General features: G+C 49.9%; 2 annotated features.

The window, feature by feature from the left end:
* Positions 1,222–1,722: an enhancer, noted in NCBI's record as "H3K4me1 hESC enhancer chr9:128830736-128831236 (GRCh37/hg19 assembly coordinates)". NCBI's record gives its function as "activates a minimal SCP1, AML or CMV promoter by ChIP-STARR-seq in naive H9 embryonic stem cells {active_cell/tissue: H9 hESC(naive)}" and the evidence as "EXISTENCE:reporter gene assay evidence [ECO:0000049][PMID:30033119]".
* Positions 7,299–7,799: an enhancer, noted in NCBI's record as "OCT4-NANOG-H3K27ac hESC enhancer chr9:128836813-128837313 (GRCh37/hg19 assembly coordinates)". NCBI's record gives its function as "activates a minimal SCP1, AML or CMV promoter by ChIP-STARR-seq in naive and primed H9 embryonic stem cells {active_cell/tissue: H9 hESC(naive and primed)}" and the evidence as "EXISTENCE:reporter gene assay evidence [ECO:0000049][PMID:30033119]".

Genomic DNA, 19,463 nt, shown 5'->3' on the forward strand with positions numbered 1-19,463 from the left:
TGGAGTCAGCTGCTGCTGTGGGCTCGGAGTGGAACCACTCACTTGTACATCACCCATTCATTCCCATTGGCACAACCCTTGTAGTTCCAATGGGGTGTTGTCATCCCTATTTCACAGAGGGGGAAGCTGAGGCCCAGAGAGGGCAAAGTAACAGCCCAGAGTCCCACAGGATTCAGTAGGTGACCTGGGACCCAATCCTGTGGCCCCTGAATCCAGGGCTGCAGCCCACAATCCTCCTTCCCACCCAGACTGAGACCTTCTTTCTGTCCATCCCCCAAGTCCTCCTATTGCCCTCCTCCTCCAGGAAGGCCTCCTGGGATGCTGCAGCCCCAGTAGCCCCTCTGAGTGAGCCTGGTCTTGGGCAGTCAGTTCAGAACTGAGTCACAAGCACAGTTCCACCTCCTGTACCTCTCCTCACTCCGCTTGGGGGATGGTGGTGGTGGTGGTGGGGTGAATCTTTCCATTTTAAAGAAGGTATCGACTGGCATATGCTGAACTAATGTTCCCATCTCCACTGACTCCTCCTCTGGGAATGATAGATTCACAGGTCAAAGAGCCGATGGACCCCAGGGACAAACAGGACAGTGTCACTCCTGTTTGCTCAGGAGCTCTATGGAGGAGCCAGCTTCTCCCTTTCTTTTCCTTGTTTTTCAGGAGACAATTACTGACGTTTAATCACAGCTCCTTGGCATTCTGTAAAACGGGTACATGCCAGCCAATTAAACAGAGCAAGGAGAGGGGAGCAGGGGCGGAGGGGAGGGAGAGCCAGGGTATGTGGCCAGTGGTGTGTTTTGTCATTGTGGCCCCTCCCCTCTCCTCCCTTCCCCTCCCCTCCCTCCCTCTTTTCTTTCTTTCCTTTCTTTCCCTTCCTTCCTTCCTTCTTGCCTTCCTTCCTTCCTTTCTTTCTCTTTTTTCTTTCTTTTTCTTTTCTTTCTCTCTCTCTCTTTTCTTTCTTCTTTTTTTCTCTCTTTCTTTTTTTCTTTTCTTTTTGAGATGGAGTCTCCCTCTCTCGCCCAGCCTGGAGTGCCGTGGCGCGATCTTGGCTCACTGCAACCTCCACCTCCTGGGTTCAAGCAATTCTCCTGCCCCAGCCTCCTGAGTAGCTGGGATTCCAGGTGCGCACCACCAAGCCCAGCTAATTTTTGTATTTTTTGGTAGAGACAGGGTTTCACCATGTTGGCCAGGCTGGTCACAAACTCCTAACCTCAAGTGATCCTCCCACCTTGGCCTCCCAAAGTGCTGGGATTACAGGTGGGAGCCACCATGCCTGGCCTCTTTTTTTGTTTTTCTTTGAAACTTTTTCTGATGTCTCATTCTGTATTTAAAAGAGCCAATGTTGTAGAGCCCTTGGCGTGTGCCAGAGACTGTGCTAAGTGCTGTGGTGATGATCTCATTTGGTTTTCACAATAGCCCTGTGGAGTGAGTATTCTTATTCTCTTCATTTTCAAGCTAAGGCCCAGAGAGGGTCAGCGACTGCCCCAAGGACACACAGCTAGTGAGAGGCCACGCTGAAGCTGAAGCCATGTCTGTCTGAACCCAAACCCACACTGTTTGCCTGTTCTCTTCGCTGCCTCCCTGTTCATGAGCCAGCAGGGCAGGATCAGGGCAGCCATGGAAACCTCAGTCTTAGGCCGCAGGAAGCGGACAGCACCTGCAGGTCGAAGAAGAATGGCTGGGGCCCGCGGGACAGAAGAGGGACTGTTGTGGAGGAGTGGGTGTGGACTCACTGCTGGAGCTGGAGCAGGGCCCAGTGCGGGGGTGTCCACTGTGTTCCAGCTTTGGGGGCAGCGGTAGGGTGGCTGGGCACACATACTGGGAGGCAGACAGACCTGGTTCTGCCATTTGCCATCTTTGTGGCCTTGGACAAGTCGCCTCCCTCCCCGAAGGACAACAGCGGGCCCTGCCTCTTGGGTGTGGAGGGGAACGCATCGTGAAGGTTTGTGCTCACAAATGTGCCAGGTGCACGCTCAGGGTCCCCAAAATGTGAGCTGAGATTCAGAGATAATATATTCAAAATGCCTAGAACAGTACCTGGTACGTATTGGTTACTTAGTAAATGTAGGGATTATTTCTGTTTTGTAAAACACTTATTTATTGGTGTGCATATATTATACATACTGAAGAAAATCTGGAAGAGAAAATGTGAAAATAGCCACAGTGATTTTTCTTTCAGGGCTCCAGGGTTGCTGGCGATGTTTTTCTTCTTTGTGATTTCCTGCATTTTCCACCTCTTTAGTGGTAAGAAGATACCATTTTTTGCAACTGGAAGGCAAAGCCTTTAAAAAGAAAACCGAAAACAACAGAAGCTGCTGTGGCCAGGCCTGCCGGCTCCCCTCCGCCCCCAGCTGTCAGCGCCCATGCAATGCTTCATTTCCTGGGGGAAGGGGGTCCCAGAGAGGCGGAGCTGTCCAGGACCCCTAGGTCTCAAACCTTGGGGTTTGGGAGTTCCATCTGAAGTGTCTTATCCCTGGGATCCCTGAGGGATGTCCAGGGCTGGGCTATGACCCTGGGATCTGCCCAACGCCTCCTTAGAGCTGGAGCTGGGCACACCTCCAGGGAAGCCAGGGCTCCAGTGCCCCCAAACCTCAAAGATGCCCCATTTTCTTCCTTGCCACCCCGGCATGGCCCTGCCCCTCCCTGCCGATTGGCATATGGGATGGGGATGTGGAGACAATGGAAGCTGAGTGTAACCACTGTTTACAGAAAAAAATGGTACAAGATTTATTTATTGGAAGGTGACTGAGGAATATGAATTCTACACTCCATTTAAAATGCTTTTTATTTCTCTCAGCCTTGGGGCTCAGAGTACATCTAATTTCACCCACAGCTATAATTCTCTTCCAAACAGTTCCTGCTTCTCCTCTGGGTCCCCAGGAACTGAGTTAGTTTATGTCTGCCACTGATGAGGCTCAGGCAGGGGCAGTGAGGACCGCTCTGTGCCAGCGCGCTCTGGAAGCCCTCCTGCCCATGCCACCCCCTGTGTGGACGTTCAGGCTGGGGGCTGGTGGGGTGCCCATGGCGCCAGGCCTGGGGGCCTTGAGACGACCTAGACTCGGGCCGGCGAGCGGCCCATATCTCACGCTGGACGTGTTGATTGTTACAACCTCAGAGCTAACAATTAGTTTGTTAGTATATTTATCCCGTGAACATTGGAGCCTGTGATTACAAATCCAATATCTGGATTGTGGCAGCATTTGGAGATAAATCTGTGCTCCAGGCCTGGTAGTGTCAGCGGTGGGGGTGGGGGTACCCTGAGTGGGAGGGGCAGCCATCTCAGTGGCCTTGCCTGCCTGTTCCTTTCCCTGGCCTGTCTGTCTGCTGGCCTGCTTGTCTGTCTATATGCATCCATCCGCCTGTCTGACTTCTTGCTAGTCTGCCCACCTGGTACCTGTTCTTCCTCCATAGCAGACTTTGGAGCTGCAGAAATTGGAAGACCCTGAATCCTCAAGTCGCTCATGGTCTACTTAGAGAGACAGATGACTCTAATTCTAGGAGGTCGCTGCTGCGACAGAGGGATGGATGGAGAGAACGCTGTGGGATCTCCCAGGAGGGCAGGGCCAACCTTGCCCAAAAGGTTAAGAAAGGACGTTCCAGGGGTCCTGACCAATAGCCACCTGCTCTTTTTTCTTTGGCTTTTAAGCATCCTTCCGCAGGGCCCTCCCTTGGCACCCACCCTGTCTCCCCACCATTTAGGTCTTAACCCACCTACATGGGCCCTTGACGCCCCTTCTGACACCCAGCACAACCAGTTGCCCCCTTGAGGCAAAATCCAATGCTATTATGGGCACACATCCTCCCCATCCCTCAGGCCTGGCAGGCACAGTCAGACTCCCTTCTCCTGTTGATTTTCTCTTTTTGCACCTTCCCTGATGCTGTGGTCTCCAGATTGTGTCTTCTCAGCTCCTTGATTGTGGGAGGGTTCCATGCTCCCTGATCGTGTCTTCCCAGCTCCTTCCAGCTACCTCTTCCTCTGCTGGCTTCTCACCTGCGGCTGTTCCCCGGGCCCAGTTCTGCAACACCGCCCTCCTCACTCCTCCCTCTTCCCTCCTCCTCCGTTCTCCATCCTAGCAAGTCATACTTCCCGTGCCTCCTCTGTCATCCTAGCGATTCCTATATCCCATGTCTCTGCTTCCAGCCCAGAGCTCTTCAGGATCCTGGGTTTTTGGGGCTCTTCTCCCCACTATGCCCCTGAACTTAGGGGCCAGCCAGCCCCCCAACACTGGCTTACCAAGCTGGAATCTGGGAGGGGTCAGTCCTCATTGACGAGTCCTCCTTCACCCCCAGCCAGGATGTCACTGGGCCCGTGCAGCTCTCCTCTCAGAGACACTTGGCACGTCGGCTCTCTCCACTCCTTTGGTCACTGCCTGGGCCAGGCCACCGGCTTCTCTCATGGCTTGTCTGTGCCACCTCCCAGCTGGCCCCTCAGCCTCAAGTGCATCCCCTATAACTCTCCTGCTGCATCTCAGCAATCCTGAACCTTGGAGTGGGGCGGGGGTTGGTGCAGGCAAAACCTGTGAAATGGGAATGGTAATTCTTGCGCGTTAGGGAGGTATGCTAGCAGGGCTTAGTGAGAGCTCAATGCTATTAGGGCTGACCTATATTTAGCACTTGCTCTGGGTCTAGCTCCATGCCAGGCAACTTACCTGATGGACTTGCTTGATTTTCACCACAGCTTGGTGGAGCAGGTTATGTCACTATCTCCAATTTCACACATGTGGGAACTAACACTCAGAGTCAAACGACATGCCCAAGGTCACAGGACTGGAAGGGGTTGAGCTAAGATAGAAATGTGGGTCTGTTTGGCTCCAGGGCCCCACCCTTAACTACTGTCTGTGCTGCCCCAGGAGACGCCCCTTCCAGGGCTGGCCCAGAACCTGGCCCTTAGCAGTGGCTCAGGGCCTGTGACCACTTTTCCTCTGAGGTCCAAGGCCATCTGTGGGCTTGGCAGAGTTTCCTGGGTTTGTGAGAAAGAACTTCAGGGCCTGGACCAGTGCTCAAACTCTCACCCACCATAAAATTCATCCCTTTAGCTGGGCCCGGTAGCTCACGCCTGTAATCCCAGCACTTTGGTAGGCCCAGAAGGGTGGATCACCTGAGGTCAGGAGTTCGGGACCAGCCTCGCCAACATGGCAAAACCCCATCTCTACTAAAAATACAAAAAATTATCTGGGCGTGGTGTCAGGCACCTGTAATCCCAGCTACTCGGGAGGCTGAGGCAGGAGAATTGCTTGAACCTGGGAGGCGGAGGTTGCAGTGAGCCGAGATCACGCCATTGGACTCCAGCCTGGGTGACAGAGCAAGACTTTGTCTCAAAAAAAAAAAAAAAAAAAAAGTCATTCCTTTAAAGTGTGCAATTCGTTGGTATCTTCACAATTCTTAGTATCGTCACAAGGTTGTGCACCCATCACCACTATCTAATTCTAGACATTTCCATTACCCTAAAAAGGAACCTCCCATATCCATGAAGCAGTTTCTCCCCATTTCCCCTCCTTCAGCCTCTGGCAACCACTGGTAGCCCCTGGTAATCTCTTTTCTGTTTCTGTGGATTTGTCTTTTCTGGACATTTCGTGTCAATGGAATCCTCCAACGTGGTCTGTTGTGTCTGGCTTCTTTCACTTAGCACAGTGCTCTCGAGGCAAATCTGTGCTGCAGCAGGCACCGGTGCCTCAGTCTTTTTATTGCCCAGTAATAACCCACGGCACAGGTACACCACTGTTTGTTTATCCATTCACTGGTCCATGGACTTTGGGGTTGTTTTCATTTGTTGGCTGCTGCGACCAACTCTGCTAGGAACATTCTATCTATACTTGTACTGTGTACAAATACACCAGTGTTTCCAATCCTCTAGACACACTAGGAATGGAGTTGCTGGGTAGCATGGTAACTCTGTTTCAACTTCTCAGGAACTGTTTTCCAATGGACTCCCCTTGGCCATGGTGTACTGGTGGGGGAGGACCCAAGGATCCCGCTGATTCATGAGCAGCCTCGTGTGCTGGGACCCTTGTTAGGGCTCTCTGAGCCCACGACTCTTCTCACCATTTACCCCCAAGAACATGGTGATGATGACCTGTGCCCCACTCTGGTCAGAGGCTTCCCATTTGTGATCTTACCCAATCCCCAGAGGAATTCAATGTGGAACGACTTGGTCACCCCGTTTTATAACGGAGAATACAGAGGCTCCATGAGATATGGCAACTTGCCAGTGAGAAGCAGAGTTGAGTCTTGAACCCAGCTATATCTGATTCCAAATCCTTGCATTTCATCCCCAAACTATTTTGCCTTTTACTCGGCCCAGTAAAACTTGTGGAGAAAAGAAGCTCTGAAGAGGTGGGGGCTTGGTGAAGGCAGGGGCCCCCCGCCCCAGTACTCTGTATGGCTCTTGACCCTTTTGTTTCACTGGCTACTGGGGCTGCCCTCTGGTGGGTGGGGAATGGGCATAATTCTGGGCTCAGATCCCTCTTGTGGGCCCAGACATGCCAACTCAGAGAGCTGGGGCCTTTTCTCTGTTTTATAAGTGGGAAAACTGAGGACCAGAGGGAGAAGGGCCAGGGCCACCCCAGTGGTAGAGCTAGGATTCGAATCCAGCTCCGTTTGCATCCAAATCGTTCCAGGTGTGTGTGTGTGTGTGTGTGTGTGTGTGTGTGTGTGTGTGTGTGTTGGCAGCAGTTGGCATGGCAGAGGGACATGCTGTGTGCCCAATTGCTGAAGGTGGATTTAAGGCAAGCTCTCCAAAGGGGGTGCAGTGCAGCACGGTGAATCCACTAATATCTGGGTGATATTGTCACCATCCAGAGAATGAGGAGTAGCTATGGACAAATGGACAATAAGAGTAGCTATGGCCAAAACTAGGACATGCCCACTTTAGAGGTTGCATGAAGCAGTGTCCCTGGGGAATGGCTCTGTGGAACCTCCCAGGACAGACACCCACTGGAGACAATGGGGTAGTTACATCCTAATGACTCCTCCCTGGAGTAAGGAGTCATTCTGACAGAGAGGGTGGCCTGTAAGAGGACACTTAGGGTTTGTCCCTAAGTGACACCAGACAAGAGGAGGAGTCTAGGACCTGTCTTTCAGAGGGATCCAAAAGCTGTGGTCCAGGAAACCCAAAATTGTTCCTTTGTAACTTCCACTGGGGACTGCAGAAGGGTCAGCAGCAAAATCTGAAAGTGAGCAGAGCCACGGGGGCAGTGGGAATCGGAGACTTGGGGCCACTTTCATGTGCGTCCGTGTGAAGAGACCACCAAACAGGCTTTGTGTGAGCAATAAAGCTTTTAATCACCTGGGTGCAGGCGGGCTGAGTCCGAAAAGAGTCAGCGAAGGGAGATAGGGGTGGGGCCGTTTTATAGGATTTGGGTAGGTAAAGGAAAAAGGGGGGTTGTTCTCTGGCGGGCAGGAGTGGGGGTCACAAGGTACTCAGTGGGGGAGCTTTTGAGCCAGGATGAGCCAGGAGAAGGAATTTCACAAGACAATGTCATCAGTTAATGCAGGAACAGGCCATTTTCACTTCTTTTGTGGTGGAATGCCATCAGTTAAGGCAGGAACCAGCCATCTGGATGTGTACGTGCAGGTCACAGGGGATATGATGGCTTAGCTTGGGCTCAGAGGCCTGACATTCCTGTCTTCTTATATTAATAAGAAAAATAAAGTGAAAAAGTGGTAAAGTGTTCAGACGGCGAAAATTTTTGGGGATGGTATGGAGAGATAATGGGCGATGTTTCTCAGGGCTGCTTCGAGTGGGATTAGGGGCGGCGTGGGAACCTAGAGTGGGAGAGATTAAGCTGAAGGAAGATTTTGTGGTAAGGGGTGATATTGTGGGGTTGTTAGAAGAAATATTTGTCATTTAGAATTATTGGTGATGGCCTGGATACAGTTTTGTATGAATTGAAAAACTAAATGGAATAAGAGAAGGAGAAAAATAGGTATTAAAGGACTAAGAATTGGGAGGACCTAGGACATCTAATTAGAGAATGCCTAAGGAGGTTCAGCATAGCCTTGCCAGCAAAGATTATTTATTTACTCTTAGAGTTAAGAGTGGCAGTTTGGGGTTAGCACCAGGAGATATCAGCTGTGATGGCTTGGAGAAACAGTGTAAACTGGCAGTGTAAACAAGAGCAGGGCATGTATGAGTAGTTGAGAATGGTGAATAGGAGTATGACTAGACAGAAGACAGTAGGGATGACAAGTTTTTTGGGGCACAGTCCAAGTTGGTCTGGTGTCTGGAATGAGACTGGGGCCTAATAAAAAGGAGCATCTATATGGGAGCTCAAATGGGCTGTACCTTGTAGCATTCTGAGGACAGGCCTGAATTCTGAGAAGGGAAAGTGGTAAAAGTATTGTCCATTCCTTTTTAAGTTGGTGGCTGAGCTTGGTGAAGTGTGTTTTTAAAAGACCTTCAGTCTGTTCTACTTTTCCTGAAGACTGAGGACTGTAAGGGATATAAAGGTTTCACTGAATACCAAGAGCCTGAAAAACTGCTTGGCTGATTTGACTAATAAAGGCTGGTTTGTTATCAGACTGTATAGAGGTGGGAAGGCTAAACTGAGGAATTATGTCTGACAGAAGGGAAGAAATGACTGCGGTGGCCTTCTCAGACCCTGTAGGAAAGGCCTCTACCTATCCAGTGAAAGTGTCTACTTAGACTAAGAGGTATTTTAGTTTTTGTGACTTGGGGCATGTTGAGTAAAGCTAATTTGCCAGTCCTGGGCGGGGGCAAATCCCCGAGCTTGATGTGTAGGGAAGGGAGGGGGCCTGAATAATCCCTGGGAAGTAGTAGAATAGCAGATGCAACACTGAGAAGTTATTTTCTTGAGGATAGATTTCTACGACGGAAAGGAAATGAGAGGTCCTAAGAGGCGGGCTAGTGGCTTGTACTATAGCATAGCCTGCCTTTGCTGGTGTGTGGCGATTAGGCCTGGTGGAACTGCCATCAAAAAATCAAGTGTGATCAGGGTAAGAAACACGGAAGAAGGAAATGTGGGGCAAGGGGGTGAAAGTCAGGTGGATCAGAGAGATGCAGTCATGAGGGTCAGGTGTGGTATCAGGAATAATGTGGGAGGCCGGATTGAAGTCCGGGCCGGGAACAGTGGTAACTGTGGGAGACTCAACAAAGAGTGAGTCCAGCTGAAGGAGCCGGGGAGCAGAAAGTATATGTGTCAGGTGTGAGGAAGAAAATAGATTTTGGAAATTATGAGAGCTGTAGAGAGTGAGTTGAGCATAGTTTGTGATTTTAAGGGCCTCTAAAAGTATTTGAGTGGCAGCAGCCACTGCACGGAGACATAATGGCCAGCTTAAAACAGTAAGGTCAAGTTTTTTGGACAAAAAGGCTACAGGACACGATCCCGGTCCTTGTGTAAGAATTCCGACTGCACAGCCCTGCACTTTGGCTGTGTGTAATGAAAAGGGTTGGGATGGCTCAGGGAGAGCTAGGGTGGGGACAGTCTCTAAAGCTGTCTTCAAGGAATGGAAAAAGGAGTGGGGAAAGGATTTAGGATCTATGGGGTCAGCTAGGTTTCCTTTTGTGAGTTTATATAATGGTTTTGTTAGGATGGCAAAACCAGCTATCCAAAGGCGAAAGTATCTAACCATGCCTAGGAAGGAAGGGAGTTGTTGTTTTGTAGAAGGGGTTGGGGTTTGAGAGATTAGTTGGACACTATCGGCAGGGAGAGCACGTGTGTTTTTATAAGAATTATGCCGAGATAGGTAACAGATGAGGATGAAATTTGGGCTTGACTGAAGTAAAGGGGGCTGTCTGTGAAGCCTTGCGGCAGTACAGCCCAGGTAATTTGCTGAGCCTAATGGGTGTCAGTGTCAGTCCAAGTGAAAGCAAAGAGAGGCTGGGATGAAGGGTGCAAAGGAATAGTAAAGAAAGCATGTTTGAGATCCAGAACAGAATAATGGATTGTGGAGGGAGGTATTGAGGATAGGAGAGTATATGGGTTTGGCACCATGGGGTGGATGGGCAAAACAATTTGGTTGATAAGGCATAGATCCTGAACTAACTTGTAAGCCTTGTCTGGTTTTAGGACAGGTAAAATGGGGGAATTGTAAGGAGAGTTTGTAGACTTTAAAAGGCCATGCTGTAGCAGGCAAGTGATAACAGGCTTTAATCCTTTCAAAGCATGCTGTGGGATGGGATATTGGCATTGAGCGGGGTAAGGGTGATTAGGTTTTAATGAGATGGTAAGGGGTGCATGACCGGTCACCAAGGAGGGAGTAGAGGTATCTTAAACTTGTGGGTTAAGGTGGGGGGATACAAGAGGAGGATGCAAAGGGGGCTTTGGATTGGGAAGAAGGGCGGCAATGAGATGTAGCTGTAATCCAGAAATAGTCAGGGAAGCAGATAATTTAGTTAAAGTGTCTTGGCCTAATAAGGGAACTCGCCAGGTGGGGCTAACTAAAAGGAGTGCTTAAAAGAGTACTGTCTAAGTTGGCACCAGAGTTGGGGAGTTTTAAGAGGTTTAGAAGCCTGGCTGTCAATACCCACAACATTTATGGAGGCAAGGGTAGCAGGCCCTTGAAAAGAAGCTAATGTGGAGTGGGTAGGCTTTGTATTGATTAAGAAGGGGACGGACTTACCCTCCACTGTGAGAGTTACCTGAAGCTCGGCGTCTGTGGTGGTCTACAGGGCTTCCGAGGCGATCGAGCAACGTCAGTCTTCAGCTGCTAAGCCGAGAAGATCTGGGAAGGAGTCAGTCAGAGAGCCTTGGGCCAGAGTTCCAGGGGCTCTGGGAGTGGCTGCCAGGTGAGTTGAACAGTCCGATTTCCAGTGGGGTCCCCCACAGATGGGACACGGCTTAGGAGGAATCCCGGGCTGCGGGCATTCCTTGGCCTGGTGGCCAGATTTCTGGCACTTGTAGCAAGCGCCTGGGGGAGGCAGTTCTGGAGGAATGCCTGGCCACTGCGGTTTAGGCGTTTGGAAGTTCTTGTGTGCTGGAGATGTGGCTGGGGTTTGTCTCACAGTGGAGGCAAGGAATTGCAACTCAGAAATATGTTGCTAGTTGGCTGCCTATACTCTATTATTGTACACCTTGAAGGTGAGGTTAATTAAGTCCTGTTGTGGGGTTTGAGGGCCGGAATTTAATTTTTGGAGTTTTATTTAATGTTGGGAGCAGATTGGGTAATAAAATGTATATTGAGAATAAGACGGCCTTTTGACCTTTTAGGGTCTAGGGCTGTAAAACGTCTCAGGGTTGCTGCCAAACGAGTCAGGAACTGGGCTGGATTTTTATATTTGATGAGAAAGAGCCTAAACGCTATCTGATCTGGAATAAAGAAAAAGGAGCATTGACCTTGACTATGACTTTAGCTCCAGCCACCTTTTTAAGAGTAAATTGCTGGGCAGGTGGGGGAGGGCTAGTCATGGAACGAAACTGTAAGCTGGACCAGGTGTGAGGAGGGGAGGTGATAAAAGGATTATAGGGTGGAGGAGCAGAGGCTGAGGAAGAATTGGGACCTAGCTCGGCCTGGTGAGGAGGGGAGAGGTCAGATAGGTCTGTAGAAAATGAAGATTAGAAAGACTCAGTGATGCTTGGGGTTGGGACTGAGGGGACAGGTGGGAGGGAAAGAAGGAAGATTTGGGACGAGTTGCATTGGGAACAGAGGCTAGGGAGTGACTGATGTGTAAAAGAATGCCTGGATGTCAGGCACCTCAGACCATTTGCCCATTTTACGACAAGAATTATTTAAATCTTGTAGGATGGAAAAAATGGAAATGCCGTTTTCTGGCTATTTGGAACTACTGTCGAGTTTGTATTGGGGTCAAGCGGCATTGCAGAAGAAAATAAGGCATTTAGGTTTTAGGTCAGGTGTGAGTTGAAGAGGTTTTAAGTTCTTGAGAACACAGGCTAAGGGAGAAGAAGGAGGAATGGAGGGTGGAAATTTGCCCATAGTGAAGGAAGCAAGCCCAGAGAAAAGAGAGAGTAGAGACACGGAGGGAAGGGGTTCGGGGGTTCTTACCCTCCAGAAAAATGGGAAAGGGGTTGGGGTGTGGAAATAAGGGGTCAGGGCACAGAGATAAGAGGTGGGGCATGGAAATAAGGGATCAGGGCAAAGAGATAAGAGGTCGGGGCATGGAAATAAGGGATCAGGGTGCAGAGTTAAGAGGTTGGGGCATGGAAATAAGGGATTGGGGCACAGAGATAAGAGGTCAGGGTGTGGAAATAAGGGATTGGGGGTTCCTGACCCCTAGAAAAGTGGGACTTGCCGCTAAGGTTAAAGGAGAAGAGGTTGAGGGGTTCTTGCCCCTCCCCCAGAAAAGCAGAGAAGGGGTAGAGACAAGGAGAGAAGGGGTTGGGGTACTTGCCCTTCCCCCAGAAAAGCAGGACTTGCCACTAAGGGTGAAGGACCAAGGCAGGCGTCCCTGCATGGTCTGACACCTCTGAAACGTGGGTGAATAATCAGAGAGGCATCCCTGCAATGATTAAACACCAAGGGAAGGCTGCCTTCCCAGTCCGTGACCGGCGCCGGAGTTTTGGGTCCATGGATAAAACGTGTCTCCTTTGTCTCTACCAGAAAATGAAAGGAATTGAAATTAAGAGAAGGCAGAGATTGAAGTGTGGCGCCAAGATTGAAAGGAGAAAGAGGTTGAGGGATAGTGAGGGAGGTTGGAGAAGAGAGTAAAAAGAGGCCGCTTACTGGATTTGAAATTGGTGAGATGTTTCTTGGGCTGGTCGGTCTGAGGACCTGAGGTCGTAGGTGGGTCTTTCTCAACAGAGCAAAGAGCAGGAGGACAGGGGATTGATCTCCCACAAGAGGTCCCCCGATCCGAGTCACGGTACCAAATTTCATGCGTGTCCGTGTGAAGAGACCACCAAACAGGCTTTGTGTGAGCAATAAAGATATTAATCACCTGGGTGCAGGCGGGCTGAGTCCGAAAAGAGAGTCAGCGAAGGGAGATAGGGGTGGGGCCGTTTTATAGGATTTGGGTAGGTAAAGGAAAAAGGGGGTTTTCTGGCGGGCAGGAGTGGGGGGTCACAAGGTACTCAGTGGGGGAGCTTTTGAGCCAGGATGAGCCAGGAGAAGAAATTTCACAAGACAATGTCATCAGTTAAGGCAGGAACAGGCCATTTTCACTTCTTTTGTGGTGGAATGTCATCAGTTAAGGCAGGAACCGGCCATCTGGATGTGTATGTGCAGGTCACAGGGGATATGATGGCTTAGCTTGGGCTCAGAGGTCTGACAGCCACCATGCTCCCCTTTGCAGCCAGGCTGTTGTGGATGTCACTTTGAGGGAGAGCAGGCCTGCAGGAAGATTCCATGGGAAGAACTGCCTCACATCCTTTGTGGATGAAGGCCATGTAGCTGAATGGTTCAGAGCTGGTGCACTGGACTTACCCTGCCTGGGCCTAAGCCACTCTGAACCTGTGTATCCTCTTCTGGAAAATGGAGATCATGATAGTCCCCACCTCAAAGCGTTATTGTGAGGACTTGGAGAGGCATCTTGTATGCCAAGGACCCCACAAAGTAAGTGCCTGATTCCTGGGAGTTAAAATAGTGAATATATAGGAATCAGAGGAAAGGGAATGGCTGGCAGGGAGCTGGGGCTGCCTACATATCTGAGATGAGCAGAGGACTCTGTTTTGGCTCTGGCCATGGCTGGTTTGTGAGCTCAGGCAGGGAGTGAGTAACTCAAAAGCAGGAGTGAAGTGATGCTGGGTCCCCAGTGCTGCCTCCCCAGGTTGGTGCCAGCCTCTGATGGGCTTGCATGCTGGGAAAATGATGCTACCACCACCACCACCGCATGCTTCTATGGCCTTTGCTATGTGCCAAGCCCTGTTCTAAGCTCTTGTAATCATCCACTCATTTAATCCTTACAATACCCCCTGAGATAGGTTAGGTTTTATTCCATTTTACAACTGAGAATACTGGGGCCATGAGTGAGAGATTAATAACTTGTACAAAGACACATAGCTATGAAGTGGAAGAACTGGGATTTGAATAAGAGCTGTCTGTCTCCTGAATCTGTGCCATTAATGATCACTAGATTTTACTGCTTCTACCTGGCTGTGCTGTCTGGAACTGGGACAATGGGTGACTGGATCCACTGTGGGTTCTGGGGAAGGCTGTCAGGGATGCGGGGGTCTCTCAGCTAACTTGGCCCAGGAAGAATCCCCATCTTTTTCCTCGTCAGTCATCTTTGACAAAGAATTGACTGTCCATTTACTTGAAGTTCTTTTCTGTTGATCTTTGGGATTCTTGGAGGCAAGACCCTTGTTTGGTTCTTTCTATGCCTTTTTCCTAGCATAGTCTTGGGCTTACAGTAGATGCTAAATCAACAGTAATTTGTTGCTATTGTTTTGTTATTGGCACAAGTCTGGACTCTTATTATTTACTACCCTCTTTGAGGTTAGAATTTGACCTGCCTCCATGAAGACTTAAAAACATGGCTCTGGAAAATCTCAACCTATATTGAAATGTGTTGTAACCCACAAATGAATCACTGGGCCCCAAGTTTTTGGGAGGATTTCTGAGCTCAGGCACTGCAAGCTGGAGATTCCTGCAGAATCTTCCCCACTCTGAGTTAAAAGTACTATTACTGGGTAGAGATCTTGGAAATGAGCTTAAATTTGTCCCTTGCAGATGCCAAGGTGGGGACAACCCTGGTGTTCCACAGGAACGATAATGATAATGATCACTGCCATTTCTGGGCACTTACCACTTTCCACAGCAGCTCCAGCTAAAGAGGCGGAGTTGGCAAGGCTTCTCCTGGCAGCCTGACCAGCATGAGCCTGTTCCAGGCTGTGGGGAGCCAGATCTCAAGACCTTCAGCCTCAGATCCAAGGAGGTTTGAGATGGCCAAGCCCTGTGGAAGGGCAATGGAGGTTTATGTTGGGCTCCATGGGGGCTGTGGCGGGGGAGAGCTCCTGCCAAAAGAGACAGGTGGGAGAATCTCAGTGGCCGAAGAAACAACTTTGAATGTGAACCTTCTCCCAGTTAGGAGGCAGAGCAATGAAGAGGCTAGGACAAGAGCTTTGGGATTATTAAAATATACATTCACTCATTCAATGGATATTCATTAAGAGTTCCTTCTTTGCTGGCTATAGGCAATAGGGGTGATGGCCACAGAAATTACCAAGACAGAATCACTGGTGCTTAGTCTTGACATGTGTGCAAACCCTGCGCCTCCACCTCGAGCTCTGTAAAGGGCAGGCCAATAACCTCTCTAATCTAAGGATTTTCATCTGCAGAGTGGAGATAGCAATAGCACCTACCTCACTGGGTTGTTGGAGAATTAACTGTGATAATGCATGTGAAAGGCTTAGCCCAGACTCTGGCCCACAGCCTGTGCCTAGTAAATATAGGCCAAAGACTTCCTCTTTGGACCATTTCCCAGTGTACTGGAGATGCCAGCCTGGGAGTAGAGTTCTGGGGATGGCCAACCCCAGAGACAGGGAGTATGAAGGTGTCCCTGGGCAAACGAGTAGCGGGGCTGACTCAGGACCCCCAGCCATATTCCTTTACAAAAGGATTTCTTCAGATGCAGAATTTCCCACTCAACCAATAACTCTGAACCTTCTGGGGTTGCAGTCTCTTGATAAGTGTCCCGCCGGACGTCCTGGTTAGAATGTGGAAGGGGCGAGTGTGCAGTGTGGGAACTGCAGTGAGGGAAAGGAGGAAAGCCCCATGCAGTACCATGGACAGAGGCTTGCTGCTGTCCGTTGTCCTGATCACCTTCGGGGCAGCCTCTCAGCTTGGAGGAGGTCAGAGGGGTGTGTGGCTTCTCAGGGACTAGAGGGAACGTCTGAAACTGTGTGTGTGTGTGTGTGTGTGTGTGTGTGTGTGTGTGTGTCTGTCTGTCTGTCTGTCTGTGTGTGTCTGTGTGTCTGTGTGTGTCTGTGTTAGGGGACTCACATCAGACAGTGATTGACCACAATACTGCGATCTAGTCTGGCTTCTCCCTCAATCTTGCAGGTGCTGAGGATCCCTAAGCCAGGCAGGGTTAGTGAATGGCTTGGGGAAAAGTGACATGATGGGTTGACTGCCTCAGCCTTCAAAAATCCCTCTCTACGCTAACAGAACCTGGGAACAGCCAATTCCCACCCTTATAAGAAATGGGGAGAAAAGAATCACAGTAGATGACCTTTTCCAAGATCCAGATTCTTTCACTTGATCCTTACAATGACCTGTGAGGTAGAGACTTGCTCTTCCAGTTCTGTGCATAAGGAAACAGGCACAGAGAGATTAAGTAGCTTGCCCAGTTAGTGAGTGGCAGAACTGGGGTTGAAACTCAGCAGTATGACTCTAGTCTCCTCTCTTAGCCTCACAGGACAGCCCCTCTCAGAGCCAGACTGAAAGGACAGCATGCTGAGGGTTCATCAGCAAGAAGTTCCTGGTAGGCTCATGGCCAGGAGTGTACAATGCCTTGCAGGATGTGATGGACACCGCTCTACTCTTCCTCTAGAGGGGGAGCCAAAGAGATATAAGGCTCTGTCTGTTTTGTTTTTTTGTTTTTTTTGTTTCTGTTTTTTTTCTTCTTCTTCTTCTAAGCCTTGTCTTGGAGCAAATGAGAATTGGCCTGGTGGGACAATTGGCCTGGTGGGGGCTTTCCTTATCTGTCTGGGGGAATGATGATCTGTCTGCTGCTTCTGTGTCTGGGGTGTCATGGACAGGCAACATGGATGTTTTAAGCATCAGACTGTGGCTTCTTTATTTCCTGCCTTCTTCTTTCTGGCCACTTGGGTCCTGGGCTGGGCTCCCTGTTTTGGCTCAAGTTCCTGCTGATGTGTGAGCAGGTGCCCAGGCCAGCCTGGCCTCCTGTGGCTGAGACTCCTTCATTGGGGCTGACAGGTTCTCTGCAGGGTCTGGAGCTTTGTATTGTGTCCCCCTGGTCTGTTGCATGTCTGGAGGGCACTGGATGCTCCAGCCAGGATCTCTTCAAGATTATCCCCAGAAGACACTGGGACCCACCCTGGATCACTTCACACATGGGCTCTGGTCTGATCTGGTTTCATCTTAGCCAATCCTGTGCTAGGCCTCCACCCCCGACTTCCTGTCAGGAGGTCCTGGAATCCAGGAAGCTGAGGCCACACAAACAGGATGCCCCTCCCTCCCCTTTCCCGTGGCCACCTCTTGCAATGGGGCACAAGTGTTGGTCTTCCCACCTCTTCCTCTAGTGGTTAAACTCAATTTTTAGAAAACCCGAAGGGTTTCGTGATCCATGAAGGGGCTGTAGGATACACCTGGTAGGATGTGTGTGTCTGTCTTGGTGACCGAGGGATGTGTTATATGTGATTATTCTCACATGTGTGAGATGTGTCTCTGTATGGGGCTAAATCTATATGTTCTCTGTATGTGATCCTCTTTCTCTCTCTGCGTGCGTGTGTGTGTGTGTGTGAGAGAGAGAGAGAGGGAGAGAATGAGAGTGAGAGAGCTGAATTCTAGGGTGAGACTGTGTGTCATGTCAAGGAATGAGTCTTGCTCTCCCTCCCTCCCCATCTCTCTCCATTGCAATTTTCATCTTTATGTGCACAAACCTACTACGCATTTCTCTGAAAACTTGGAGTGTGACGTATTGGGTGTGATTGTGTGTCCTCTGACCAGATAAGATTCATCTATGTCCATGAGTCTTGGCAAGTTTGCATGCGTGCCTGTGGGCATACCTGTCATTTCAGTGCCTGTCTCTTTGACTCATGGTACCACGAGGCGTGGATATGCCAGTGTCTGTGGGGGCATGATACAGACATCGTGCCAGAAACCAGCTCCTTTCACCCAACCAAGTTCCCAGCTTTCCCCCGAATGGCAAAGTTGTTTCTTTGAAATGCTTCCAGCACCTGGCTTAATAGACCTTCCTGTGAGCATATTCCCAGTTCCGCACTGCTCCCCAGTGACTGGGGACCTTTTGTCAAGCACATATGAAATTAAGTGAAATAAAAATCATATTAAAAATTATTACCATCTAACAGCCATTAGTCTGCACACTGCTGTCAGCCTGTGATGGATTCCTCACTTACTTCAATGAATGTTCTAACGACAGTGATAAAATCACTCAGAAAAAATAGAATAAACTGTTAACCCTCTCCCCATCGACACTTGTTTTTCTTTAAGAAAAATACAATAAGGGACCTTGGTGGAGGGGGTTGAGACACATGTGACTCCTTAGACTGAGAGATGGGCTGAGTACAGAGTCCTGGGCTTCATCCTGTGAGTCTTGGGAGGGGATTTTGCTCCAGACTAGACATGAGCTCCAGTTTCTGAGCTCTGTGCTGAGATTTGGATTTTTGAGCTAGACTCTGAGCTGTTCCCTAGTCTGGTCAAGTAGGGACTAGTTCTTGTATTTTAGACTTACAGATTTATTAAACATCAACATCTGATAGACAACCCCAGGGGAACAATAATGTATATCTGAGCTGCAGCAGTGAACGAGGGCTGGGAAGAGTGGTCAGATTAGAAAGATGCTTAAAAGGTGGACTTGACAGGACTAGCTAATGGGCTTTATTTGCAGTAGAGAGTGAGGTAGCCCAGACGTTTATTGCTGAAGCTACTAGAAGTTGGAGGACACTATTCACTGAGATAGGGTGAGATAGTCCTACTTCAGGGAGAAGGAGGAGCCCAGTGTTGAGCTATTTGAGTTTGGAGAGACGTGGACGTCCAGGAGGCTGTGAGAAAGGCTGTTGGGCTCTTGAGCTGAAGCCCCAGAAAGGGTTTGGGCTGGAGAGAGATTTGGGCATCCTTGGCACCCAGACAGGGGGAAAAGCCAGGGAGTGGATGAGACTATCCAGGGAGGGTGTGGAGAGAGAAGAGTTGCAAAGACAGCACCTGGAGGACAACTGATCATTGAGAAAGTCCCAGAAGGAGGCAGAGAAGGGGCAGCTGGGGAGCAGGGAAGAGGACAGGGAGGTGTCATGCCATGGGATTCACAGAGGGAGGGTGTTTCAAGAAGTGGAGAGTGATCAGCAAAGTGAAATGCTGGAAAAAAATCAGATAGAACTGAAAAGTATTAGTGGCCATGTGGATGTCCTTGGTGTCTGGATTCAGAGGCATGAGAGAAGGGAGAGGGAAGTCAGATGCAGGTATGCACTCACCTTGCAGACCCCCTTCACCAAGACAGGGTCCCTGACACAGCGATTGCTCTGGGTAGGATAGCTGAGACTCAGTTTATCCAAACACGAGGGGCTGGGCCTATGTACCTTGCAGGGTCTCATCCCTGTGATCTGGGACCCAGGCTAATTTTGCTTCTCTCTGCTGGGCCCTACTTTGGTCTAGAAGGACAGGACGTGGAGGCTTCCTGGGATTACTTGGTGACCCTCAGAAGTGAAAGCAGTGAGGGAGGGGCTCCTAACCTAGTCCTCAGGACCTCAACATTTCAGAGGTTCTGCTGGTTCCTCTGGAGAGTGAGCTCCGGGACCCTTGGGACACAGGGCTTTGAGGAAGCTAGCAGTGCATGAGAGATGATGCTATGAAGTAGGGGGAGGGATCTCTCTCCTCCTGGATGAACTGTGGCCTTTCCTGTCACCCATGAGCCATAG

This window comes from Homo sapiens, chromosome 9 (assembly GCF_000001405.40).
Source record: "Homo sapiens chromosome 9, GRCh38.p14 Primary Assembly".
Lineage (NCBI taxonomy): Eukaryota > Metazoa > Chordata > Mammalia > Primates > Hominidae > Homo > Homo sapiens.